Source organism: Homo sapiens, chromosome 16 (genome assembly GCF_000001405.40).
Source record: "Homo sapiens chromosome 16, GRCh38.p14 Primary Assembly".
NCBI classification, from domain to species: domain Eukaryota; kingdom Metazoa; phylum Chordata; class Mammalia; order Primates; family Hominidae; genus Homo; species Homo sapiens.
The window spans coordinates 58,022,007-58,046,901 of NC_000016.10; the positions used below are offsets into that span (position 1 = coordinate 58,022,007).

The 24,895-nt window shown below is 59.0% G+C and overlaps 1 protein-coding gene across 1 annotated transcript, besides 6 other annotated features; it reads left to right on the plus strand.

Moving 5' to 3' along the window:
* Positions 2,357-2,944: an enhancer, noted in NCBI's record as "H3K27ac-H3K4me1 hESC enhancer chr16:58058267-58058854 (GRCh37/hg19 assembly coordinates)". NCBI's record gives its function as "activates a minimal SCP1, AML or CMV promoter by ChIP-STARR-seq in naive H9 embryonic stem cells {active_cell/tissue: H9 hESC(naive)}" and the evidence as "EXISTENCE:reporter gene assay evidence [ECO:0000049][PMID:30033119]".
* Positions 2,945-3,530: an enhancer, noted in NCBI's record as "H3K27ac-H3K4me1 hESC enhancer chr16:58058855-58059440 (GRCh37/hg19 assembly coordinates)". NCBI's record gives its function as "activates a minimal SCP1, AML or CMV promoter by ChIP-STARR-seq in naive H9 embryonic stem cells {active_cell/tissue: H9 hESC(naive)}" and the evidence as "EXISTENCE:reporter gene assay evidence [ECO:0000049][PMID:30033119]".
* Positions 3,748-24,895, plus strand: MMP15 (matrix metallopeptidase 15). The gene is made up of 10 exons (NM_002428.4): positions 3,748-4,506; positions 15,466-15,614; positions 16,260-16,388; positions 17,869-18,176; positions 18,531-18,692; positions 19,611-19,864; positions 20,225-20,363; positions 21,204-21,354; positions 21,506-21,621; positions 23,001-24,895. The coding sequence occupies exons 1-10, from the start codon at positions 4,345-4,347 to the stop codon at positions 23,438-23,440; spliced, it is 2,010 nt and encodes a 669-aa protein (NP_002419.1). The 5' UTR covers positions 3,748-4,344; the 3' UTR covers positions 23,441-24,895.
* Positions 3,757-3,896: a silencer, noted in NCBI's record as "silent region_7542". NCBI's record gives its function as "represses an Ori minimal core promoter by ATAC-STARR-seq in GM12878 lymphoblastoid cells {active_cell/tissue: GM12878}" and the evidence as "EXISTENCE:reporter gene assay evidence [ECO:0000049][PMID:35858748]".
* Positions 3,757-4,312: a biological region, named in NCBI's record as "H3K27ac hESC enhancer GRCh37_chr16:58059673-58060222".
* Positions 3,763-4,312: an enhancer, noted in NCBI's record as "H3K27ac hESC enhancer chr16:58059673-58060222 (GRCh37/hg19 assembly coordinates)". NCBI's record gives its function as "activates a minimal SCP1, AML or CMV promoter by ChIP-STARR-seq in naive H9 embryonic stem cells {active_cell/tissue: H9 hESC(naive)}" and the evidence as "EXISTENCE:reporter gene assay evidence [ECO:0000049][PMID:30033119]".
* Positions 4,863-5,412: an enhancer, noted in NCBI's record as "H3K27ac-H3K4me1 hESC enhancer chr16:58060773-58061322 (GRCh37/hg19 assembly coordinates)". NCBI's record gives its function as "activates a minimal SCP1, AML or CMV promoter by ChIP-STARR-seq in primed H9 embryonic stem cells {active_cell/tissue: H9 hESC(primed)}" and the evidence as "EXISTENCE:reporter gene assay evidence [ECO:0000049][PMID:30033119]".

Here is a 24,895-nt window from a genome sequence, read left to right on the forward strand (position 1 = left end):
AAGAACAGGTTAAGTGACTTGCTTGCATGAGAAATAGGGCCGTACTCAGCCCTAACCTCAGGTCCTGTGCTGGGGTGGCCCTGATCCAGCCCTGCACACCACCTCGTGGTCAGGCCTGGCATCTGGGTGGGGACATAGGGCTTCAGGGAAAGGTGTGGGGAGAGGGGCCTGTTGCCCAGGCTCCCATGGTGGCCCCTGCAACCCCACCTTTCCTGAAAGGGGCAGCCTCCCAGCCACTGCACTGAAAGACACAGGCACATTCTGTGCCTTGTTCCTGCTCCCCACCGCATTGATCTGCTGACTCCGACTCATCATTAGTCTGGTTCTTCTGGAGAGGAGGAGGATGCCGGGCATACTTTCTGGCTTGCAAGCAACATGGCAACTCCGGCTGTGCAGCCTGCACTTAACTGACACCTGCCCTGTGCCAGGCCCTGAACTGGGCACTTGGTGAACCAGACTAGGTCTACCCTCTGGGTGCTCACAGCAGGGCTGAGCAGGCAGGGAGCACAGAGAAGAATCCCCATCCTCAACATGGTACTTCCCCAGACTTGGGTACTGGCTCCTATTGGGAGGGGGGCAGGTGTGAGGTAGGGCCTCCATCAACAAGCCCAGGAAGAGGGACTGGGCCATTCCCCTGGGGGAGGATGTGGCTGGGGAGTCTGTCTGTGCTGAGGATGGAATTTGAGTGCAGCAACTTTGAGAAATGGGCCAAGATCAATAACTGGCTCCTCAATGGAGAATGGAAGGTGGCAATGGAGGAAGGAAGCAGGAGTCTCGCTGAGGGGGAGGGGTGGGCAGGCTGGGCCTGAGGAGGAGGCTGGCGGCAGGAGCTTGGCGGGCACCCAGACACTGAGTGTGCCTCTGGAGCAGAGTAAGCCCGTTGAGCGAGCGCTCCCGCTGACAGTGCAGAAGCAGCCGGGGCTCTTCCATAACAGGAGATTCTCCATAAGAGGAGAAACATGGGAGACAATTCTGGAGACAGAGGGAAGACCAGAGAAGGCTGCGGTCCCCCCCAGGGAGGCTGGCCCAAAGAAATGCTCTTGATGAGGATTTTATCGCACCAGGGAGAGTACAAAATCAACACATCTGGCCTCGGTGTCCTCAGATGTTCCCCGCAGGGCAGGGAAATCATCTCACGCCTGTTTGGCTGATTTCCACCTGGCACTCTCCAGCGCCTCTCCAGACCACCCCAGCTTTGTTTCCAAGGGAGAGGGAAATTACCTTGGCTTGTTTGTTTATTCCTTGTCTTGGCACGAAGAGTCCCAAGGCCTGCTTCACCTTTGATGGTGGGTCGGGTGGGTGCATCGCCCGAGGGGCCCCTGGAGGGGAGAGCTGGGGGAGGGGGTGTCCTGGGCCTAGTTCCATCCCACAGCTACTTTCCTTCACTGAACAGGAGACCTCCCCTACGACCTCAGAACTCTCCTTTTGCAAATGAGGAAACAAACCCAAAGAGGGGAATAACTTGCTCGGATTGCCCAGTAAATTACAGCTGAGGCAAAAACCCAGGGACCTGGCTTCTGATCCAGAGCTTTTTACAATCCCTCACACCACATCGGGACCTCTAAATGAAACTGCTCTGAAACACCATGTCTGGGCTTTCATTCAAAAGACCAAGAAAAAAAAGGTGTGTGGTGGTGGGCGGGGGTGTCAGGGCATAGATGAAACGGTATTGGCAAAATATGGATAAGGTTTAAAGCTACTTGATGGAAGGGCTGCAGTTCACACATCTCAGTCCCACTGACTAGTCCTTTCGGGCTTTGGGTGCTGTCCAGACCCAGTAGAAACCCAGCTATCTTGGGTTGGATGTAGATGCAAATCCACCTTGGACTCCCAAAGTACCTATAGGAGCCAGAACCAATAATTGGGAGCTTCAAGATCTGGTCACAGGGGATGTCATTTCCTTAAGGCAGGATTGGACCCCAAGAGAGGAACCTCCAACAGAGAGAAAATCACCAGACTTGACCGACCCAGGCCTCAAAGAACGTTGCTCCACTCATTCCTGGGCTCCTCTCACTAACAGCTAGCCCCTTAAACCCCAACTTTTTTTTTCTTTTTTTCTGAGACAGTGTCTCGCTCTGACAGCCGGGTTGAAGGGCAGCGGCATGATCATAGCTCACTGCATCCTCAACCTCCTGGGTTCAAGTGATCCTCCCAACTCAGCCTCCCAAGTAGCTGGGCCTACAGACGTACACCACCACACCTGGCTAATTTTTGTATTCTTTGTACAGATGGGGTCTTGTCATGTTGCCCAGGCTGGTCTTGAACTCCTGGGCTAAAGCAATCCTCCCACTTCGGTCTCCCAAAGTGCTGGGATTACAGGCTTGAGCCACTTTACCTAGCCCCAAACTTTTTAAAATTGGCTAATCGGGACTAAATATCATGAAAGAGTGCGACGTGGTCGGTTAAACAAGGACAACCCCGTTGTCCGTGTCTGAAGACCACTGCACATTTCCCAAAAGCAAATTTCGAAGTGGAGAATTTAGAAACCAACTTCCCAGATGAAGGATCCCACAGAGAAGTGAGTCCGTGGAAATGATAGAATCGCCCGGTTCCTTTCTCTAAACTCCGACTTCCTTTCCCCAAGGACATCCCAGGAGGGTTCAAACGCGCCCTCTCTAAGGCACTCTGCCAGGTCTCCTGATTTCCAGTTTCCGGGAGGTGAGGCCGGCTAGGGTGCCCCGAGGGCCTGCTCTAGAGAAAACCGCCCTCAGGTGAGGACGGCTTCCATTTCCGGGTCTGAAGATAAGGAACAGCTTATCTTCGGTCTCCGCCCTCCTGCCTGCAACCCTCACCCACTGACCACGCCGGCCAGTCCGCCGCGCCAGGGCTGCCCTTGGCCTGGTCCCCGGGTCTCGGTGGACCTTCGACCCGGGCCTCCCAGCTCTGGCCTCCTGCATCCACCCCGCCCCGACCTCAAGCTGCTTCCGGAATAGAATGAAATCCAGCTCGTTAAGCTTCGCGGGGAGGTGTGTCCACCCGCCCCGCGCCGACTCCGGCCGCACTGTCGCACTTCACTCGCACCAGCCAGTGGCCAAAGTGCTTGGGCACCTATTGCGCCAGGCCAGGAGCCGGAAGTCTTACCTCGCCCTCACCCCAACTCTTTGCCCCACGTTCCCGATAAGAACATGGAGGCTCGGAGAGATTAATTTGCCCACGTGCAAGCGGCAGCTAAGGGGCGGACGCGGAACTTGAACCGTGTCCCTCCTAAACCTGCCCCTTGTCCGCCGCAACGCGCCCTCGACGCGCACAAAACCCTCACTTTGCTACTGAGGAAAGTTATTCAATGGCCAGAGACACCCTGCGGCTTTTGAAAAGAGGTTTCAGGCTGACAAATATCCATATATACATATATATTTATATTTAAGCCTAAAACGACTCTTTGATCCCTCCCCTAAGACCTCCTTCCCGTCCGCCTAGGCCTCGGTATCCCCCACCAGGTATGAGAAGGAGGAGTCTTCATTCTTCCCAGGCGGGGAGACCACGCCTTCCCTGCCTCCTCCCTCCGCGGGGGGTCGCGTTGGAGGTCACCCCCGCCCCCTAGGCGCTGGGTTGGGAGTGACGCGGGGTGGGCTGGAGAGGTTTCCTGCCGTCTGGGAAGCGTAAACGGACCGCCCACCTGTCGGGCCTCGGCCGCCCGCACCTGCTTGTGAGAAGCCTGCGGCTGGGGCACCGCCCCCGGTCCCCGCCCGGGTCCGCGCATTGGGAGCACACTGGCCCTTTAAGAGCGCGGCGGCCGCGGCGCGCGGGGAGGAGGGCTGGGAGCGCCCGGAGCCGCGCTGAACTCGCCGGGGACGTCGGGCGCCCGCTCCTTGGCTGGCTCGCTTGCTCTCTCGCTCGCTCTCTCGGGTCGGCTCCCTGCGCCTCCTCCCGGGACTGCTTGGGGACCCGGGCCCGGTCGGGCGCGGCGGCGAGCAGAATCCCCGTGCAGGAGGCGCGCGCTCCGGGCAGCGCCCGGCCCCGGGCATGGACAGAGGGAGCTGGGCGCGCAGGGAGCGCCGCGGGACCGGGCGGCCGGAGCGCTGAGCCAGACAAAGGCTCCGGAGTTGCGCTTGCTCTCGGGAGCCGGGCCCCAGGCGCTGGGCGCCGAGGCTGCGGAACCTCGCCGGGGGCAGCTCCGGTCGGCCCCCTTTCCCGCCGGCTGGTTCCGAGCTCCCGGACCTGCCCTGCCCGCTTCTCCTCGGGCTTGGGAATTTGCCGAGGCGACCTAGGCGGCTCCGGCGGGGACCGGGAGCCCGAGGTCCGCGGCGCGCCTGCCGGGCCAGGAGCCAGGGAGCGTCGCAAGTTTCCAAGGCGCGTGCGAGGATCCGGCGTGCAGTGTTCCGAGCTGGGCTGGGCGCCGAGAGCATGGGCAGCGACCCGAGCGCGCCCGGACGGCCGGGCTGGACGGGCAGCCTCCTCGGCGACCGGGAGGAGGCGGCGCGGCCGCGACTGCTGCCGCTGCTCCTGGTGCTTCTGGGCTGCCTGGGCCTTGGCGTAGCGGCCGAAGACGCGGAGGTCCATGCCGAGGTAAGACCCCCGCCCTGCCCTTTGGCTGCGGGCTGGGGGCTTGGAGGGAGAGGCGCCACGTCCGCAGGCTGGGACTTGGAGGTGGAGGGAGCGGAGACGCGCCCCCTGTTCTGGGCCGTGGCGGGGAAGCAAGCGGACTTGGCAGTCTGCCCCTCCCCAGCTCGCCCTCTGCAGCGCACCTCTTCGCAAACCCTTGAGGGCGCAGGGCCTCGCTCTCCTCCCCGCTACTCCTACAGCCCTGTTCTGGGCACTGAGCCCCCACCCCGACCCCCTTACATTCAGCCTGTGTCCCGGGAGCCGCTTCCGCCGCCCCCAGCCCTTGCCTCCCCTCCTTCCTTCCCTCCAGGGCAGCCGATTCCTCGAGAGCCCGGCTGGCGCGCAGTGGCGCTCTTTGCGAGTGGGGAGGGGGCTGCTCTCGGGGACAGCCACAGGCGGAGCAAGAGCTGGGCGGCTGGGCAACTGCGCTCCTGCCCAGGTGGCCTCCCGTCTGGGTGATACCGAGCCGCGCACGGCGGGCCAGGATGGAGGCGGGGGGATGGGTGCAAACGGCTGAGGCAGCGGACTCGGGTTGCGGGGGCGCTTTGGCGACTTTCTGCGCTTTTGCGAGGAAGCCTAGGCACGCCCGGGCGGGGTCCTAAGGACGGACCCTGCCTCCCACAGCGCTTCCTCCCAACAGCGCCCCTACGTCGAAGCCCTGGATTCGAGAGGGTGGACCCCGCGCCTCTCTTCGCTAGGAGCCCGCTTGGCGTCCCTCCCGGGGCCCCGCTCTGGATGGGTCCCGCGGGTGACCAGGCGCGACATCCCGGCGTAGAGCCGAGTCCAGCCAGCGCCCCAGCTCCATGGTGTCTCCCGAGCGAGGACACCGAAGGCGCCAGCTTTCTTGCCCCAGAGCAAGAGCAGGGTCCACTCTTCCCCGACTTCTAAGACCTGCGCCCTGCCCCAGATAGGCGGGGAGAGGACTTGGGCGGGGAGTAGGGAGAAAGAACCACCCCGGAGCCGCTTCTGAACGGTGCTCAGGCCTTGGTGCCCTTGGGCTGCCCGGGCTGCGGGCCTGAGCGCCGTTTCTATTTGCAGCTCAGCTGGTGCTCCCTCCCTGGCCCACGGCGGCTTTCCCACCTCTCCGGGCTGCCTGGGAGATTTTTCCGATGGAAGCTTGCCCTTCCCCGCCCTACTTTAATAAAAGCATAGAGGAAGGGCAGGGAATTCCTCCTGGGCTCGAGTTACACCTCCCAGCCATTTCCCCACCTGCTCTGCCCTCCCTCCCTGGCCTGGCCAGGGAGAGCTGAAGGAGGAGCCAGGCCCTGGTGGGAGGCAGGATAGGAGCCCCGCCCCGACCCAGTCTGGCCACCCTCCCCCACCCCATTCACACAGGCAGGAGGAGCTTTAGGGGGCTCCTGTTGGTGAGGATTACCCCTCAGCCTGTGACCCAAGTACTGGGCGGAGAGTGCCATTTGGGCCCACCTGCCACTCTGGGCTGGAGTGCCAAAGAATTTCAAGTCACAGTCCCACCATTGAGTTTCTAATCTACTTAGGGATGGCGTCAATACATAGGAAGCAGTGATGGAATTCAATGGCCGTGCATTGCTAATGGCATCCTAGCTGGCCAGGAGCTCAGGGGTGCAGGGACCTGTAGTTGGAGGGGCTTCACTCTCTCTCTCTTCTGCTTTTCCAGTTCCATCTCACCCCTACCCCAACTCCCCAGCTCAGGGAGTGCCCACAGCTCGATGCCGCCAGGGAAGAAGCCATGGTTGCGTTATCACAAACCGTGCTCCTGATCTGGAGGTTGTGACTGTCCTGGAGCCCTACTCCTGGGGAAACACTTGGGTTGGACCTGGGCAGTGACTGGAAGAGACCCCGGAAGGTTTAAGGAGCCTTGAATGTTGGCAGCCATGCAGATAGAGGGCTAGAGACAGGTGGAGTGTCCCAGCTCCTACAGTTGGCTTTGGGTACAGGCTGCTTCTAGGGTCCCATCAGGTCTGGCCACATGTGGGCCCAAAGAGTCAAATGGCCTCAGCAGCCAGCCCATCTGCCGGGGGCTGTGGCCTCAGACTCCTGGGCCTGGCCTACACCCTGTGTTGAGCCTCCCTTCCTTGGAGAAGGCTGGCTCTCTCATCCTCACCCCAGCATCCACACAGCCTCAGGCCTCCAGTAGGGTCACAGCTGGGACCTTCTCGGAGCAGCTTGGCAGCTGAGCCAAGGCCAGCCTCTCTCCACTTCCTCTCTCCCCTCCCAGGGTGGAAGCCACAGGACTTTCACGAGGCTGAGACATCAAGGAGCCTGGCATGTGCTAGGAACTGACAAACACCTGCAACCTGCCAGGCCCTAGCCCACCACTGAGCTGCCACGTCCTATCCCACATTCTCCCTTGGATGTCCAATCCCAGTCTGTAGCCATTCCGGGCCAGATCCCCACCTGGCTGAGGTGCTCACTGTTGTTCCTGCCCTGCAGGGCTGAGAGTCTCCAGGCTCACCGGGGGAGCTCTTATCTCACCTGCCTCCCCCTACCCCCTCCTCCCAGGCACAATTCAGGTCCTCAGCCTGCTCTGTGGAGGTGACTCAGGCTGCCAGAGTTCACAGGGGTGGTGCCACCACCACCAAAACCGATCCACCCGCCTTTCCTCAACAGGCCCACGAGTATCTTCCTAGCCCCTACCCAGCCACTGAGTAGATGAGGCAGCGGGGGTGGGGGCGTTGGGAGGGGGTCAGCGTGAATTACCATTTTGACCTTCAGGTGAGCCACAGTCTTGGGCTTCCTTAGCTTCAGTCTCTACTAGCACTTCCATGCTGGCTCCGGGGGGGCCCCACTGGTCCCCTCTTTCTTTTAAACAGAGCAAAACTACAGATGCCATCTGTGCCCACCAGCTAAGAAAAGGGAGTTAATAGCGGGGCCTTGTCATTGGGAATCTGCAGAAGCTGAATCTTCTCCCCCTCCCCTCTTGTCTCTGCTTTTTACTCTGTTTTCTTGCTAGTAGTAAATCACTCCTCTCCATGCTCTGTCAAGACCCAGAGAGAACTGGTCTGATTGGCACAGCCAGGGACCTAGATCTCATTGGGCCATGCCCTTCACACCCAGCCCTTGCCATGTTTCCGAGTTGGGGCTGCCCTTGGGTCCAGCCAGTCATCTGTCTCCTTGCAGAGAACAGCCCAGTGTAAGCTCCTTGTCTGAGCAGTGTATTGGCCTGACCTTCCCATTGTGACCTCTGAACATAAATACCTCCTTTGCCCCACCCCAAGGGATGTTGATACTTAAAAGATATCCATGAATGTGGAGAGGAGCAACATGGAAATACACGCTATCCCCACCCCCAAAAGAAGACTTTCCCCAAAAGCCCAGTGCCCACTGCTATCTCTTATGCCCATTCAGGATGGCTACACTGCAGGCGTGGAAAAGCCCCTCCCTGCCGAGCGGTTTGTTCTGCTGTCCCTCTGTGGCCCTTTTGTTGTTTGGTCCAGATGATCCCTTCCATCATCACCTCTGCCCTGCTGGGAGTTTGACCTCTGCCTCAGGCTAGCTGTGGTGGTCACTATGAGAACCACTACTTTCCAGATCAAATCAGAATGGGTATCCTCCATATCATCCCAAGGCTTAGGTGGCTCCCTGTCTTGGACACTCCAGCAGGAGCAATGCTTTGGTCCTGGAGATGTGTTTTCTGAGTCAGCAAAGACAGAGAGGGGTTGTGGACTCTGCCCTTATCTTTCTCCTTTACAAAGCGGGTCCTGGGAGAAGCCCACCATTGAGTGTGAGGACCGGGACCCTGAAGGCGGCTGAATGCTCCAGACCTGAGACACAGTAGGCACCATCTGGCTGGACAGCTCTGAGTGACGGCTCAGATAGGGCTGCTCCACAGTCAGACACAGGTTCCAGGGATTCCTGAGACCAGAGGCCATGGAGCTGGGCCTGGATCCCAGAGGCAAAGAGGGATGCCTCTTCCCTAATCCCATGGCCCTCGTGGGAATGGAAGAAAAAGTGGGAAGAGACCCAACTCAGCCTCCAGTATCAGGACAGGTGGATAAGCCCCTGGTACCAGCCATTAGCCAGCCCCTGGAGATGCCCCCCATCCTGCTGCCATCGGCCGATGGTGATGCAGGCCAAGGTCTAGATCACCTCTCCAGGGCACTGGCACTGGCACTGCCTTGTCCTTCCCCTAGGAGTGACTGTCACCCTGTAGGGGTGAGAGTCCAGCTCCACGTTCAGCGTTTCTGAGCATGGCACTTGATACATAGTGCACAACACGGTGGCCTACACCCTGTGTCCAGAGCCTCCCTGGCAAAATAGTGCAAAACAGTGACAGAAGCGAATGGCATTTACTGTTGGGCAAGTCACTGAATCTGTATGAACTTCAAGATCTCTATAAAAAGGGAATAGCAATGGTCTATCTGCTTGATGGAGTTACGGGGAGATTCATTGCATTTATGTGCAAAACACTAAACGCTATGCACAATGCCTGGCACAGGGGGCCTAAGGAGGCGCAGGTGTTATTTTTGAGCACCTTCAACATACTTGTGTCTGTTGTGGACACAGACTAGGGATGTTTTGTAAGCGTTTTCACATTTAATCCTTGTATTAACTCTTCAAGTGTAGATGCTGTCATTACTCAATCTACAAAAGAGGAAACTAATACTGTGAGTTGAGAGAAATGACCCCCGCATTCCATAGCCAGGGAGTGGCAGAGCTTGGATTTGAACCCAGCTCAGTCTGGCCTGGAGCCCAAGTTCCCAACCCCCATGCGGGGTTGAAGGCTACAGGTCAGAGCCTAGGGTGCCATCCTGTGGAAATTCCACCAGGCAGAATTCTGCTGGGCCCGATCCAGGTGGGAAAGAGGTTTCTGAGGTGGAGCCAGGGCTGCCTGAGCTGTGTGAGCCAAAAGCCCTCCCCCGGCCCACCCAGCCTTGCCCCCATCTGTCCAGCCACCCAAGCTCTGCCCTGTGGACAGCCCCGTCTAGGAGTCAGCACCTGCAGGGAGGTTTCCAGGTGAGGACCCAAGGCCGGGCCCCCAGCCAGGCCCGAAACTCCTGGCTAACAGAGGCCTCTTCACCCCGCGCGCTGGCCAGGGAACCCGGTTGTTTTTTCCTCCAAGTTAAGGAGTGTGGGGCAGGCTGGAAGGCTGCTGGGTAAAGAAGTGGTCAGACCTCAAGACGTCTTCCTCCTTCCTGCTTCTCCTGCTGGACTTCCCCACCACCCAGAGTCCCAGCCCCCACCTGCAACTCGCTTAAAGACCCATGGGAGGGAGCAGATTTAATCCCAGACTAAGCATGTGTGTCCTAGAACTGCTGAAATGTGGAACATGCTGCCTCTAAAGGTAGTGAGCAATCCTCCAAGGAGGACCTGGCTCGATGCCGCCTTTTTTTTTTTTTTTTTTTTTTTTTTTTTTTGAGACAGAGTCTCGCTCTTGTGGCCCAGGCTGGAGTGCAGTGGCGTGATCTCGGCTCACTGCAACCTCCGCCTCCCAGGTTCAGGCAATTCTCCTGCTTCAGCCTCCCAAGTAGCTGGGACTACAGGCGCTGCCACCACACCTGGCTAATTTTTTGTATTTTTAGTAGAGACAGGGTTTCACTGTGTTAGCCAGATTGTCTCAGTCTCCTGACCTCGTGATCTGCCCGCCTCGGCCTCCCAAAGTGCTGGAATTATAGGCGTGAGCTGCCATGCCCTGCCCATGCCACCTTTCTTTACTGGCCTTGGGGGTAGTTGCGCCATCGGCGCTCTCAACGCTGCTTGGTGGGTCGGAGTGATGATCTTGGCCCTATTTTGCAGAGGAGGGAACTAAGGCTCAGAAAAGTTATCCTAGCCGTCTTCCGTTGCTGGGAGGCCTGTTGTGTGGACTAGCAGTCAGGACCAAGGGGCAGCCTTCCGGGGGCTGACTTCCGCTCAGCCTGAGGAAGAGCTAACAGTCCTTGCTGTCCAGAGAGAGAATGGGGGGCCTTGAGTGGCAGTGAGCGCCCCCTGTCTGCAGGATACAGGCTGATGAGTTTTTGGCCAGCTGTAGTCCGTAGAGGCCTGGCGGGTGGCTGGGCTTGGTGGTATTGGGGCCACCCAGCTGGTGAATGGACTCTTGGCTCAGGTCCGCTGATCCAGGTGGGCCCTGTGGGCCTGGAGTGTGCACTCTGCCTTCTGCAAGCTCCCTGGCTCCTCCAGGACTCATCCCATTCAGCACAGGCTCTGTGCCTAGTGGCTGGGAGTACAGAGCTGGGCACAGCCTTGGCCTGCTCCCTAGAGCCCTCCATACCAAGACTATAGGGTAGGGGAGATGGGCATGGTAAGGACCTCACAAGGCCACAAAAGGTCCGGGGGCTGGATCCATCGCTGGCAGCCTTGACAAGGCTTCTTTTGTGCCTGGCTGGGCAACTCTGCCTGGGTCTGCTCAGATTGCAGACAGAACCTGGGTGACAGAGACAAAGCAGAGCCCAGTGGAAAGTGTCCTTATCGCCTGGGGTCTGATAAGGGCCCCGGGGAGGGGGCTGCCGGCCAGCTCCACAGATCTGAGTGCTGGAGGAGCTGGAAGGGCCGGCTGGGGCGGCTGCAGCAGACGCTTGCCCCCTCCCCCACCCCACTCCCACTCCCCCACCGTGGCGGCTGCTCACTGCACAGTATTGATCTAGTGGCTTCTTACACCAACCCTCTCAGCAGCCAGTGGGGGAGGGTGGACTGAGATGGCCCAGCGCCCAGACCCGGCCGGAGATGTCGGGTGTGGGGAGGATTAGGCACCCTTCCCCGTGCTGTGCTGGGCACTGCTCCTGAGAAAGGTCCAGTGTCCCCAGCCTGAGGCCAAGAGGAGCTGGTGATACTTCAGAAGCAGCCTGGTCCGATAGCCCCAGCTCCAGCCCAGATCAGCTCTGGGACCCTGGGTGAGGCACTCACTATCTCTGAACCTTGCCGTCTGTATTATGGGAATGGTCACAAATCTACCCTTCAGGAGTGGCTGTGAGCATTCAGTGGGGGCTGGAATGGGTGGCTGGCCCATGCCAGACTCAGGTGCTGCGGTTATGACCTCTCCTGTGTGCCAGGGGCCAGGAACCACCCTTCTGACTCCTGGTGGCCCATATCTCCTTGCCACTTACCTGAAGTGTCAATAAATACGAATGGGATGGGGTCTGGAAGTCAAGAAAGAAATTGGCCAGGCGTGGTGGCTCCGCCTGTAATCCCAGCAATTTGGGAGGCCAAGGCAGGCGGATCACCTGAGGTCAGTAGTTCGAGACCAGCCTGGCCACCATAGTGAAACTGTGTCTCTACCAAAAATAGAAAAATTAGCTGGGCATGGTGGCACATGCCTGCAGTCCCAGCTACTCAGGAGGCTGAGGCAGAAGAATCGCTTGAACTCAGGAGGCAGAAGTTGCAGTGAACCGAGATCATGCCACTGCACTCCATCCTGGGTGACAGAGCGAGACTCCGTCTCAAAAAAAGAAAAGAAATGGCTGAGAGAACCACAGTGGCAGGTGCCCCCCACAGCAGCCCACACCCGAAGCTGCAGAAGGGAGGGGCCCTCATGGCCCCAGAGCTCTCCTTCCCTCCCATTGGACAGTGGCCTTGGTGGCAGAAGAAACCAAGTCCTGCTTCAAATTCTGCCGTACTCTGCCACTTACAAGACTTTCTGAGCCTCAGTTTCCTCACTTGAGAAGCAAAGCTTCACCCGCTTGGCTCACCCCACCTGTGACTCTAGGTGACAGGAAGAGATTCCTTGTATTAGGGACAGTTTTTACAGTCACCAGGAGGAGCAGCAAGGGCTTGAACACTGGGATTGCGAGTCATGACCTAGGGACTCATCTGCGCCTTTTGCCCAGTGGCAGCAGAGCAGTTCAGCAAGCTCCCCACGCTGCCCACCTGCAGGCAGCAGCACCTCTGGCCCCACCCCCGCGTCCCCGCCCCCTGCTGTCTCTTCCCTCCTGTGTTCCCCTGAGCTTGTCCCACTTAGTGTGGCAGGAAGGTGCCAGGAAACTTCTTCCTGGACCCTGGGGAAAGGAGGAAGCTCACAGTCCTATGGGTGGTATTGCTGCCACCCGGGCAGATTTTTGGGCACTTGGCGTTCAGTCACCCTGAGCACACTTTCACCGGTCAGGCACGCTCTGCCAGCTTCGCCTTGTTATCCAGAGGTTTGAGTGGTCTGCGCCAAGGCCGTGTTTCTGCCTACCACCCCCCAGCTTCCCCAATCACTGCCCAAGGGGTGCCCCCATCCTCAGCCTCTGGCTCTTCACCCCAGGTGGCTGAGGGTTCAAGCTTGGCTGATAGCGAGATGGAAGCTCTTGACTTCCCTGGAACTCAATACTGTTTCTCTGTGTGGAGGGTCCATAGTGCCCTTGGGACCCTCCTGGCAGCCCCTGAGCTGGCCCCGGGGTTGAAGGGGCCCCTCTGCCGGTCTCTGGAGCTCTTCACTGCAGACAGGCCAGCTCCCTTGCTTTCCTCCCCAGGGCCCCAGCCTGATCCTCCCCCACCCTCCCCTCCTGTCGCTCCGCAGATACCGCTAATCAGCCCCTCCATGGCCCATGATTGCGCTCCCAGAGATATTTTTACCTTATGCAAATAGGTGATGTAGAGGTGCCCTCATCTGCCGGCAGCCAGTCCCCCGCCACTCCCCCGGCCTCCAGCTGCATTCCCTTTGCCGTTAGAGCTGGCTGAGCATCATGGCCTCGCCTTCTAGATCTCCCTAAGCACCTTCAGGGAAACTGTCCTTTAAGGATGGTGGATCTGCTGCTCCACACCTTCCAGCACAGGAGCCTTGGGAGAGGTTTCCCGTGCTTGGGAAGAACAGGGAGGGTACCCACGACATTGCCAGTATCTTATTGAGCTGTGGGAATGCGCCCTGGGCCAGAGGTGAGGAGTGCTAGTGGAGGGGCCCTAGGGGCCTCCTGCCTCCCTCCACTCTGGGGTCCTGGTGGAGCCTGGCCCATCACCAGTCTTGGGAAGTCCAGACCCATCAGCCTTCTTGGTCAATGATGGGTCAAGGAGGCCGAAGGCTGCCTGCCCCAGGGACAACCACACAGGCCTCTGGTCTCTGTCATTTGCACGTTTGTCGAGCACCATCTGCTGCACAGGGTGGTGTCAGGCACTAGCATGCACTTTACGATTCCTCCTCACAGGAACCCAGGAGATGAGGCAGGTCCTGGTGCAATCCCCCTTTTACTGATGACCGACAGAGATAAGGAGGTGGAGTGACACCTCGGAAATAGCCAAGCCAGGGTCTGCCTAGCTCCACCTGTCCCCAGAGCTGGTGGTGGTTTCTCAGCTCTGCATTTCCACCTCATTGCTCTGGGGCTGTTTCCCGGGTCCTGAGAGGCCTCAAAGCTGTGGCTGCGCATCCAGTCTGCGACCCTGGCAGCTTCTCCATGCTGCCCCTCCTTGGGTCAGCAGCTGCTCCGTCTATTGGCAGCCTGGGTACCACTGAGCTGGCCTGCCCAGCCACACCAGGGACCTGGCCGGGTGCCAGGGCTGGGCTGGTGGATGGTACCAGAAAGCAGGTGCCTGAGGTATTAGATGTAACACTGGTGGCAGGCAGATATGTGAGTGTGATCTGGCCGGCCAATATGGCTGTCAGCCTAAAGCAACCACCGTGTCCAGCTACTGCCCTGCTGCCTGGGCCCTCGGGGTGCAGCCCTCACCTCCCAGAGCACTCAGAGTGCCAGCCTTAAGGGCTTCTCACTCTGGAGACCCCCAGAGACCCAGACAAGTCAGACACAGACACTTGCAGTGTCCAAGGTCCAGGGCAGCCCCTGGCCTCTGCTCACTGCCTCCCATGGCGGTCACCGTGCTCTTGAGGGCTTGAGGACATGAAGCAGGCAGGGCAGAATCCCCTCTCTACCACAGCTCGGCCTGTCTCTGCCCTCTGGCTTGGCCGTGCAACCTGTGGGGTGTGGGTTCCTTGTTTTGTAGGTGTGTTGGGTCTCCCAGGGAGACTGTAAGTTCCTGAAGGCCAGGATGCCTCAGCCTAGTCCTCCCATGGCCCCCAGCTGGCACAGAGGGTGTTGAGAAACATCTGGCAGGGTGGGTGGTGGATGGATGAGAAGACTTGCCAAGCAAGCCCTAGAAAGGGAAGGGCACACCCATTGTGTACCAGCTTTTTCCAAGGCTGTTTTCCTCAAACCTCACCCCTCAGCAGCCCATGGTTCCCCATTCTATAGGTGAGGAAGCTGGGGCCCAGGGAGAATAAAGAGTTTGTAGCAGAGCAGGGACTGGGCTTCAGGCTTCTGTCCTGCCCTTGAGCCTGGATGGGTACCTGCATCTGTCTACTCCTTCCAGGAGATTTAAGGTCTTTGGGGAGCAGTGCCAAAGAGTAAGGCCTCAAGAGGTCCTGAATCCTTTTGGGTCCTTGGCCTGGTAGGGGCCCACCCCAGAGGGGCTAGTGCAGTTGTCAGCTACTGTGGACACAGCTTCTGTCCTAATGGGGGAAGACAAATAGCAAACACCTAATTGAAATGTACAGTGCATCAGATGGGTGATAAGCATGGGAGGAAGGAGGGGGTGCAGGGTATAGCTGATGGGGCCTTTTTAACGTGTCAGAGAAGACCTCTTAGATAAGGTGGTATTGAAACAGCGACCTGAAGAAAATGAGGATGAAAGCCTCTCAGTTGTCTGGCGGGAGAGTGCATCAGGCAGCAGAGGCAGGAAGTGCAAAGGCCCTGCGGCAGGAGCATGCCCGGCTGGGGTGGATGGTGGTGAGGTCCAGCTAAGGTGGGGTGACAGTGAGGGCCTTGTGGCTCTTGTACAAATGGCTTTTCCTTTGCAATGGGAAATCTTCAGAGGGTTCTAAGCAGAGGATTGACCAGACCTGACCTGGCCTTTGTTCTGGCTCTTATGTGAGGAGAGATGACAGGGAGGAGGGTGCTGAGGCTCACACGGTCACCTGGGCAGGAGGTGATGACGGCTCAGATAGAGCAGCGGTGGTGGAGGTGGTGGGAAGTGGTCGGCACAGGCTGTGCATGTTTGGAGGTAGCAGTGCCAGGACCTGCTGACAGAGTTGCGGCTTCTTTGCAGAACTGGCTGCGGCTTTATGGCTACCTGCCTCAGCCCAGCCGCCATATGTCCACCATGCGTTCCGCCCAGATCTTGGCCTCGGCCCTTGCAGAGATGCAGCGCTTCTACGGGATCCCAGTCACCGGTGTGCTCGACGAAGAGACCAAGGAGTGAGTTCCCCCCACCATCCACACCCCACAGGCACCTGCCTTCCATCTGGCCTGCTCTCAAGAGGGCTCAGCATGTGGAGTTTCCAGAAAAGAGTGGCCTAGATAAGAGATGCCAAATGGTTTGGTCCTCCATGTCACTTCTGATTGGTTGGAGTGGCTGCCCAAAGCCTTGTATTGAGAAAGCTCCAGGGGCAGAATCCAGGCCTTAGCAGTAAGAAGCACAGTGATTGATTAGTGATGTCTGACATGGCCAGGGGAGTGTGGAGGTACAGTACAGGAGCTGTGGAAGGGAAATCGTAGCTAGGCATGGCTATGAATCTAACAAGTGACATGACCTAAAGCCATGTCCCTGAAAACAATGCACAGAGCATAACGTATCCAGGACAGAAGGCCTTGAGCGAACCCTCCATTACTGGGTGATAAGGAGAGAAGGGCTCACCTTGACTGAACCACTCCTGGGCACTCAGTCTTCCAATACAGGCATTTTGCCCATTTTACTGGAAGTTGAAGCTGAGAGTCCCCCATCCCCACTGTGTCATAGGAGGGGCGGCTGGGAAGCCCGGAAGTGGCGGAAGTGGCAGTGCCAGAACAGGCAGGTGTGTGGAGGGGAGGCTCCGTGCTCACCCCTCTGTGTCCATGTCCCAGGTGGATGAAGCGGCCCCGCTGTGGGGTGCCAGACCAGTTCGGGGTACGAGTGAAAGCCAACCTGCGGCGGCGTCGGAAGCGCTACGCCCTCACCGGGAGGAAGTGGAACAACCACCATCTGACCTTTAGGTAGGGGGCTCAGCTGCCCAGGGAAGCATCTGCCCCTCGGCAGGCCGAGCCTCAGACCTCCTTTCCCAGAGCCCACCTCGGCGCCCAGCCTTAACAGTCCAGCCCGCTTTCACGCTGATGAGACCAGCCACACACGCCAGGCAGTCTCCCTCGAGGGAAGGTCAGGACACTTCAAGCTACTTCCACCCTGTCCTTCCCCACCCCCCACCTCCCTGCAGGCAGGGGCTGGCCTCACTGGGCACAGCTGGGCTACTGCCCCAGCACAGACTGCAGCAAGGGATGGGGGATGGCTGGGGTGCAGGAATCCAGGCATCCATCAAGTGAACAGGCAGCAAGTCACCTGCAGAATCCTTGGATCAGGGGCCCTCATCCTTTTTGCTGAGTTCTTGAGCAAGAAAACCCTCCAGCCAAGTGTGCCTTGAGCCATGTGGTTGTCCCCAAGGGCTCCCCTTCTTGTTCCAGTCTGGCTCTGTCCTGACTCCAAGCTCCATCTCCCAAGGAAGAGTGGTTCCCATGGTCACTTAGACCTCAAGCCCCCAGAGTGAATTCAAGGTCCAACCAGCTAAAATATTCCCTTCAGGTTTAATGTCTAGCACACAGAGCTGAATCTGATTTATATAGGTAAGAGCAGGCCTCACCATACGTCATCAAATGCAGTCTCTGGCTACAACTTACTTCCTCTAATCCTCACTGGAACCCTGTGAAGAAAGTACCACACACACACTCTTTTCTAACTTAACAGATAAACTGGAAATCGGCCAGGCACAGTGGCTCACACCTGTAATCCCAGCACTTTGGGAGGCCAAAGTGGGTGGATCAGCTGAGGTCGGGAGTTCGAAACCAGCCTGACCAACATGGAAAAACCCCGTCTCTACTAAAAATACAAAATTAGCCAGGTGTGGTGGTGCATGCCTGTAATCCCAGCTACTTGGGAGGCCGAGGCAGGAGACTCACTTGAACCCGGGAGGTGGAGGTTGCAGTGAGCCGAGATTGCGCCACTGCGCTCCAGCCCGGGTGACAGAGCAAGACTCCATCTCAAAAAGAAAGAAGGAAAGAAACTGGAAATCAGAGAGTCACTTACCCAAGGTCACACAGATACTGTTAGAGCCAGGCCTTGAACTCAGGTCTGCCTGACCCTGGAGCTCAACATTGAGAACTGCTCAGCCTGTTTCCCAAACCTCACTCATTTGCATCCCATTTTCTAGGTCTTTCCCCCAGCCACATAGCACCTGTATTTTAGTTTACTTAATGTCTCTCTTACTTAAAATCAGTTTATTTGCCACAATGCAATCTTAATTTAATGATATCTTCATGATCTCCTGGATTTGACAAATTCAAATTATGATTTACATCAAAGCAAACTGCCAGTTGATAATGACGGGCTTGTTGGTGACCTTGCGTGCACTCTTGGGAACATGCCAGCAGAGGATAGTAGGCCCTTGGCCCTGCATCCGCTCACTCATCTCCCACCCACCCCCAGCATCCAGAACTACACGGAGAAGTTGGGCTGGTACCACTCGATGGAGGCGGTGCGCAGGGCCTTCCGCGTGTGGGAGCAGGCCACGCCCCTGGTCTTCCAGGAGGTGCCCTATGAGGACATCCGGCTGCGGCGACAGAAGGAGGCCGACATCATGGTACTCTTTGCCTCTGGCTTCCACGGCGACAGCTCGCCGTTTGATGGCACCGGTGGCTTTCTGGCCCACGCCTATTTCCCTGGCCCCGGCCTAGGCGGGGACACCCATTTTGACGCAGATGAGCCCTGGACCTTCTCCAGCACTGACCTGCATGGTGAGGACAGCTGGCCAGGGTGAGGGGCAGGGCAGGTGGCCCCGGAGCTGGGCAACAACACCCTGCTGAGTGGGTTCAGCAGCCGCGGGGCTGGGAGGAGAGAGTTCCCCTGTGTTTGTCTCCAGATCACTACACTCAATTTCAGTCTGTTGTCCCACCATCTCCAAGGGGAGGCGAGAAAGGATGATTGTACCCATTTCTCAGATGGGGTTGTTGTAGGCCGAAAGAGCTCAGCCTCTTCCAAGAGGGAAGCAAGGGCAGGCTCTCTGGCAGCCTCAGCCTGGAGGGTCCAGGGTGATTGGGTCCTGGGACTGGCCACAGCTGACTGTGCTGCCCTCCTTCTCTCCCCAAAAGGAAACAACCTCTTCCTGGTGGCAGTGCATGAGCTGGGCCACGCGCTGGGGCTGGAGCACTCCAGCAACCCCAATGCCATCATGGCGCCGTTCTACCAGTGGAAGGACGTTGACAACTTCAAGCTGCCCGAGGACGATCTCCGTGGCATCCAGCAGCTCTACGGTGCGTGGGCTGTGACCAGCGGGCTCTGCATGCCGCTCTCAAGTCCCTGGCCAATGAGGAGTAGGCATTGCTGCCATCCCCATTTTGTAGATGAGGAACCCAAGGCTCAGTGAGGATTAGTGACTTGCCCACATCATTTGGGGAATAAATGGTGGTACTGGAAATGAAACCCAGGGCAGGCTGCCTCCAGGGCCTGGGCCTCACTCGAGGCTGTGGCTGCAGGCTAGAGGCCTTGAAGGGACACAGGTTCTTCATGACCCTCCTCTCCTCCTCACCCTTGGCAGTATTCTTACTAGACCACAAGTGCCTGGGGGATCCCAGGACCCGCCCCCTTCCACCGTCACTCCCAGCCTGAGCCTGTCACAGCTCTGTCCACAGTGCTGCTGGTTTGTCACTTCCCAGTGGCTTTGAGGAAGTGCCACCCCCCCACCCAGGGCCCACCCGAGAAAGTCTCCAGCAGTGAGGTCCCCTGGGCCAGTTCGGTGGGCCAAGTCCTGCACTCTGTGCCCACACCGAGCCCTCCTCGGGGCTGGCAGCTCCTGCCGTGCTGGGCACTTGACGGGCACCCCTTGCTGCATCCCCAGCAACTTGGAAATGCAGAGTCCAAAACGCCTGAAGCCAGGGCCTGGAGCCTCTGCTGGAGCAGGCTGGCATCCCAAGGGGAATGTCCCCAAGGGGACATGCAGGCAGACACCCTCAGGAGCACAGTGACCCAAGGTCAGTGTGGGGAGATCGAGGAGGGGCTAGAAGGAGGAGGACCCAGGTCCCACCGAGGATGGAGGCAGGTGTTGGGGAGGGGTCTGCTGTAGATGGACAGGATTTTACTTTCCGCGTGGGTGGGCCTGTGCTGGGGGCCCCGGGGCCCAGGGTTCTGAGTAGGAACACAGACCTCACTTCTGAACCCCTGCCTCTCTGCAGGTACCCCAGACGGTCAGCCACAGCCTACCCAGCCTCTCCCCACTGTGACGCCACGGCGGCCAGGCCGGCCTGACCACCGGCCGCCCCGGCCTCCCCAGCCACCACCCCCAGGTGGGAAGCCAGAGCGGCCCCCAAAGCCGGGCCCCCCAGTCCAGCCCCGAGCCACAGAGCGGCCCGACCAGTATGGCCCCAACATCTGCGACGGGGACTTTGACACAGTGGCCATGCTTCGCGGGGAGATGTTCGTGTTCAAGGTCTGGCCCCGCCTCCCATGCCTGGCCCTGAGCCTTTTCCCTGGCTGCTCTGGGCCCCCTGTCCCACCCTCACTCAGCAGGCCCCGGGGAGCCATTAAGCCCTCAGCTCTAGATGGGGAGGAATCCAGCCCAAGAGGTTGAGGGACTTGCCCAGGGTCACACAGCAAGCCCTGGTGCCAGCTCCCCAGCTCAGGGCTCTGTTTCTGTGCAGCCCTGGCTTTCCAAGCCACTGCCTGCCTCAGTATCTCAGTGTCCTCCCCTTGGGCCCACCCTCACCTGGGAAGGGGTGGTTTGAGGATGGCACCTCTCCCGGCCAAGGCAGCTTGCCTGCGCTGCCCGCTCACACTATGCCCTCCCCAGGGCCGCTGGTTCTGGCGAGTCCGGCACAACCGCGTCCTGGACAACTATCCCATGCCCATCGGGCACTTCTGGCGTGGTCTGCCCGGTGACATCAGTGCTGCCTACGAGCGCCAAGACGGTCGTTTTGTCTTTTTCAAAGGTGAGCAGAGGTAGGGTTAGAGGGTTGGGCACGCCTCCTGCCATGACCTCTGACCCTGCTGGATCTGAGAGAAGAGGAGGTGAAGGGTTGCATTGCATGTCTGGTCCTGTGCCCCCACTGTGGGCTCACTCTGGGAGGATGAGGACACAGCAGCAAGGCAGGACGGGAGGAAGATAGAGGCTGGAGGCAGGGTTGGACCTGCAACCCGGAAGTGCCTGGCCACCTTGTGCAGCACAGGGCTCAGCCCTGCTTCCCTCTGTCCTTGCCTCTTTGCCTCCTGCAGCCCCATCCTCATAAGAACAGGTGCCCCCAGCCCACTCCGGGGCCAGATTTCTGTGGTCTGTCTGCAGAGACGAGGTCTTGCAGGGCAGCGCCCCGTGATGGATCCACCAGGGCTCTAACCCCACTGTCCTGAGCTTCAGTGAGGCAGGAGCTCCCTGAGGACAGGGCTGGCACCAAACTAAAAGCAGGGAGCCCTGGGCCACACACTGTGAGGGCTGCAGGTGTGCTCCAGGGACACAGCCCCCAGACCCAGAGGCCAGGCAGTCCCCTCCCCATACAAGAACTATATGTGCGGGGGTGGATGTGCACATGGAAGCGAGGGCTGTGGGTGGCATGTGGCGTGTATGGGTGTGAGCGGGTGACTCTTGCTCACGGGAACAAGTGTGCCTCAGGTATCCATGAGTGCAGCATGTGATGTGCGGGTGACCTCATTGTATGTTGTCTTGAATATGTAGAGGGGTGTGAGTGTGATTTTGTGGGCCCAGAAGAGCATTCTTTTCCCGCACACACCCCTCAGCCCCAGGCCTGACCTCACTGTGCCTGCCACCCCTCCTGTAGGTGACCGCTACTGGCTCTTTCGAGAAGCGAACCTGGAGCCCGGCTACCCACAGCCGCTGACCAGCTATGGCCTGGGCATCCCCTATGACCGCATTGACACGGCCATCTGGTGGGAGCCCACAGGCCACACCTTCTTCTTCCAAGAGGACAGGTGAGCAGTGCGTCCCTCCCCTAAGGGGAGAAGGCCCCATCTAGGCCCCCCTCAACCTCAGGCCTACCCAGAAAGAATCCACTGCCTGTGGGGAACGGGTCCTGGCCCAAGCAGGATCTCTAGGTCCACAGCCTGGTGCTTTTGTTCACAGGTACTGGCGCTTCAACGAGGAGACACAGCGTGGAGACCCTGGGTACCCCAAGCCCATCAGTGTCTGGCAGGGGATCCCTGCCTCCCCTAAAGGGGCCTTCCTGAGCAATGACGCAGGTACCTGGCCAGCCCCTCCCAGTTTGCCCAGCACCTAATATCCCCTGCTACACACACCACAGGGCAGGGCTTGCCCAAGGTCACCCGGCACTGTGATGGTGTGTATGGGTGACAAGCTGTGTCACGCTCTGGGCTGGGAGCTTACCTAGCTTGACACCCTGGTCCTTCCTGCATAGTTAAAATTCCCTTTTTACAGACAGGCAAACTAATAAACCAGAGAGCTTGAGCAGAGTGCCCCAAATTCCACAGCCAGGAAGGTGCGGCGTCAGGATTCCAGGCCAGTCCTGCCTGCGTCCGGAGCTGGAGCTTGGAACTGCCCTGATGCCCACAGAGTCCAGCCACCCCCAGGCAATCCCAGGGGAGCCTTGAGCCTGAGTGGGGCAGGCTTGGCTCAGAGTGTTAGGGGTGAAAATCCTCCCAGGGCATCACTCATCTACCTACAAGGAAAGCCCTGTCTCTGTCATTATAACCAAGAGACAGGGAGCTGTGCCTCTTCTGTTTCTCTAGCAAGGTCTCTAGTGCATTTAAGAAAAACCAGCCAGGTGTAGTGGCTCACGCCTGTAATCCCAGCTCTTGGAGAGGCCGATGCGAGAGGATCGCTTGAGTCCAGGAGTTCGAGACCAGCCTGAATAACATAGTGAGACTCTATCTCTACAAAAACAATTTTAAATCAGCCAGGTGTGGTGACTTGCACCTATAGTCCCAGTTATTTAGGAGGCTGCGGTCGGAGGATTACTTGAGTCTGGGAGGTCAAGGCTGCAGTGAGCTGTGATCGCGCCACTATACTCCAGCCTGGGTGACTCAGGGGGGACCTTGCCTGCTTTGCCAGTGCTCAGGCCAGTTACACAGCTTCTGTATGTGAGCTTGGCACTCTGCAGCCGCTCTGATCTCTTGTGCTCACCCCTTGATTGAAACCTGGCCCTGCCTGGTATTGATGGGATGCTGGCAAGGTGCCCAAGGTCAGAGAGCCAGCCCAAGGCAGCACCAGGTTCCTTCCGCTCTAGAACAACTGCGGGGTGCTGTGTGGCCTTGAGCAAGACCCCAAACCTCTGTGGTGTGAGGTGAAGCCAGTTCTGGGAAGGGGCAGCAGGATCCCTGACTGCAGCCCCCAACCCAGCAGGCTATAGGACCCTTCCAGGCCCTTCCCCAGCTAATGTCAGTCTGGTCAGGAAGCCCAGGGTTCTAGTCGTACCCTTAGCCCAAAGCCCTCTGAGCCTCAGTCTGGCTCCTGCAAGTTGAGAAGGGGCAGATTTGAAAATACTCAGGGAAGCAAATGAGAAGAAGGGTGTTTTGAAGCCCTCAGCATGTCCTGGCCTTTGATGGTTCTCACTGGTGGTTCGGCTCAACCTGAAGCCACTCTGGCCTCCTTGCCCCTGCAGCCTACACCTACTTCTACAAGGGCACCAAATACTGGAAATTCGACAATGAGCGCCTGCGGATGGAGCCCGGCTACCCCAAGTCCATCCTGCGGGACTTCATGGGCTGCCAGGAGCACGTGGAGCCAGGCCCCCGATGGCCCGACGTGGCCCGGCCGCCCTTCAACCCCCACGGGGGTGCAGAGCCCGGGGCGGACAGCGCAGAGGGCGACGTGGGGGATGGGGATGGGGACTTTGGGGCCGGGGTCAACAAGGACGGGGGCAGCCGCGTGGTGGTGCAGATGGAGGAGGTGGCACGGACGGTGAACGTGGTGATGGTGCTGGTGCCACTGCTGCTGCTGCTCTGCGTCCTGGGCCTCACCTACGCGCTGGTGCAGATGCAGCGCAAGGGTGCGCCACGTGTCCTGCTTTACTGCAAGCGCTCGCTGCAGGAGTGGGTCTGACCACCCAGCGCTCCTGCTAACGGTGCTCAGGGGGCGCCTGTGGTTCTGAGATGGCTCCCAGGGGCTCCCTCCGCCCCCAGGTAGGGGCCCCTCTCAGCCCTCACACACCCTGTCTGCCCCGCCCTCATTATTTATGTCCAGGTGTTTGTTTTGTTTTGTTTTTGGCACCTTACTTGACCATTTGTTTCTGTTTCCCCGACTGGGGCAGGGTGTTTAGAATTTTCTAAATGTAGTTCTGCTCCAGACAGGGAATTAGGCCCCCATCATCCTCTGGCTTGGCCACAGCCAGGGGAGCAGAGGGGCAGAGGCCCACATTGGAAGAGCAGCACCTCCTCAGCCTGAACCCCAGGGCTGTAACTGCCAGGCTCTCTTTGCCCAGTTGGAGACTGTCTGGCCCCCCTGGTCCCCTCCTTCCCAAGTGAGTCTCTCTGGGCCTTAGGAAGAGCCTTCCACCCAGGGGCAGCCCCAGGCCAAAGGGGACCTGGAAGGGAGGTGGGCCGTGGCCCTTGAGTCCCCATTGAGGCTTGGTTCCTTCCCAATCCAGTGGACTTCGCAGTCCACTTCTGACAGCCTCAGTGACCCTGGCTCCTTGTGCCAGAGAACCCAGCCCACCCCCGGCAGCAGCCCCCAGCTCCCACCTCCCCTTGGGCCCACACCTCCTTCCCTCTCTGGAGAAAGGGCCCTGGGCCTGCCTCACCACGGACCAAAGGGAGTCTGCCAGGGCCCCTCTCCCCAGGGAAGCAGCAGCCTCGCCCCTGGCAGAGATGCCTCCCTGAGCTAGAACCCTCTGTTCCTTCCCTGTGCCTCCTCCCTCCCTCTCCGACTCACACCACTAGCCTCAGGGGTCTGAGCTCCAGCTCCTTTGGGCTTCAGCTGCCAGTGTCCTGAGCCCCAGGGAGAGGGGGCTGGTGGGTGCCTAGGCCTGGGCAGTGGATGGCCGTGAATGGGTGCCCACAGTGTCAGGCACTGGGCATGAGGGGTTCCTCCCCTCCAGCTCCCTGTGCCCCCAGGGTCCTGGGAGGAGAGACACTGGTGGGGATAGGCCAGCCGCGCATCAGACTGTGAACCCCACGAAGGAGCCCATTGTGGCCTAAGAGGCTGCCCTCCTGTGCTCAGCCCTGAGGACAGATGCCTCCTTCCTCTTTTCCTTCCCAAAGCAAGCAAGAGGCCGTGGCTGCTGTGGGAAATGGTACTGTACAGCTGGCTCTACTTCCCCATGGCCCTGAGCGAGTGGAGTCTGCCACCCAGGATCCCCAAGGCACTTGAGGGGGAAGGATTCTGCTGGCCTCTGCGAGTGGTTTCTTGTGCACTGGCACCAAGTGCGGGTCCGGCAGCTTCTGCCCCCTGCAGAACCGGAGAGCCAGCTAAGGGGTGGGGCTGCGGGGGTTCCGTGTCCACCCCCATACATTTATTTCTGTAAATAATGTGCACTGAATAAATTGTACAGCCGGCAAA

What these genes read in the sequence shown, in the direction of transcription:
- MMP15 (NM_002428.4), top strand. Translation starts at nt 4,345, where the DNA reads ATGGGCAGCGACCCGAGCGCGCCCGGACGGCCGGGCTGGACGGGCAGC. An exon ending in ACGCGGAGGTCCATGCCGAG is followed by an intron (nt 4,507 to 15,465) that starts GTAAGACCCCCG and finishes GCTTCTTTGCAG; the next exon opens with AACTGGCTGCGGCTTTATGG. An exon ending in CTTCCTGAGCAATGACGCAG is followed by an intron (nt 21,622 to 23,000) that starts GTACCTGGCCAG and finishes TTGCCCCTGCAG; the next exon opens with CCTACACCTACTTCTACAAG.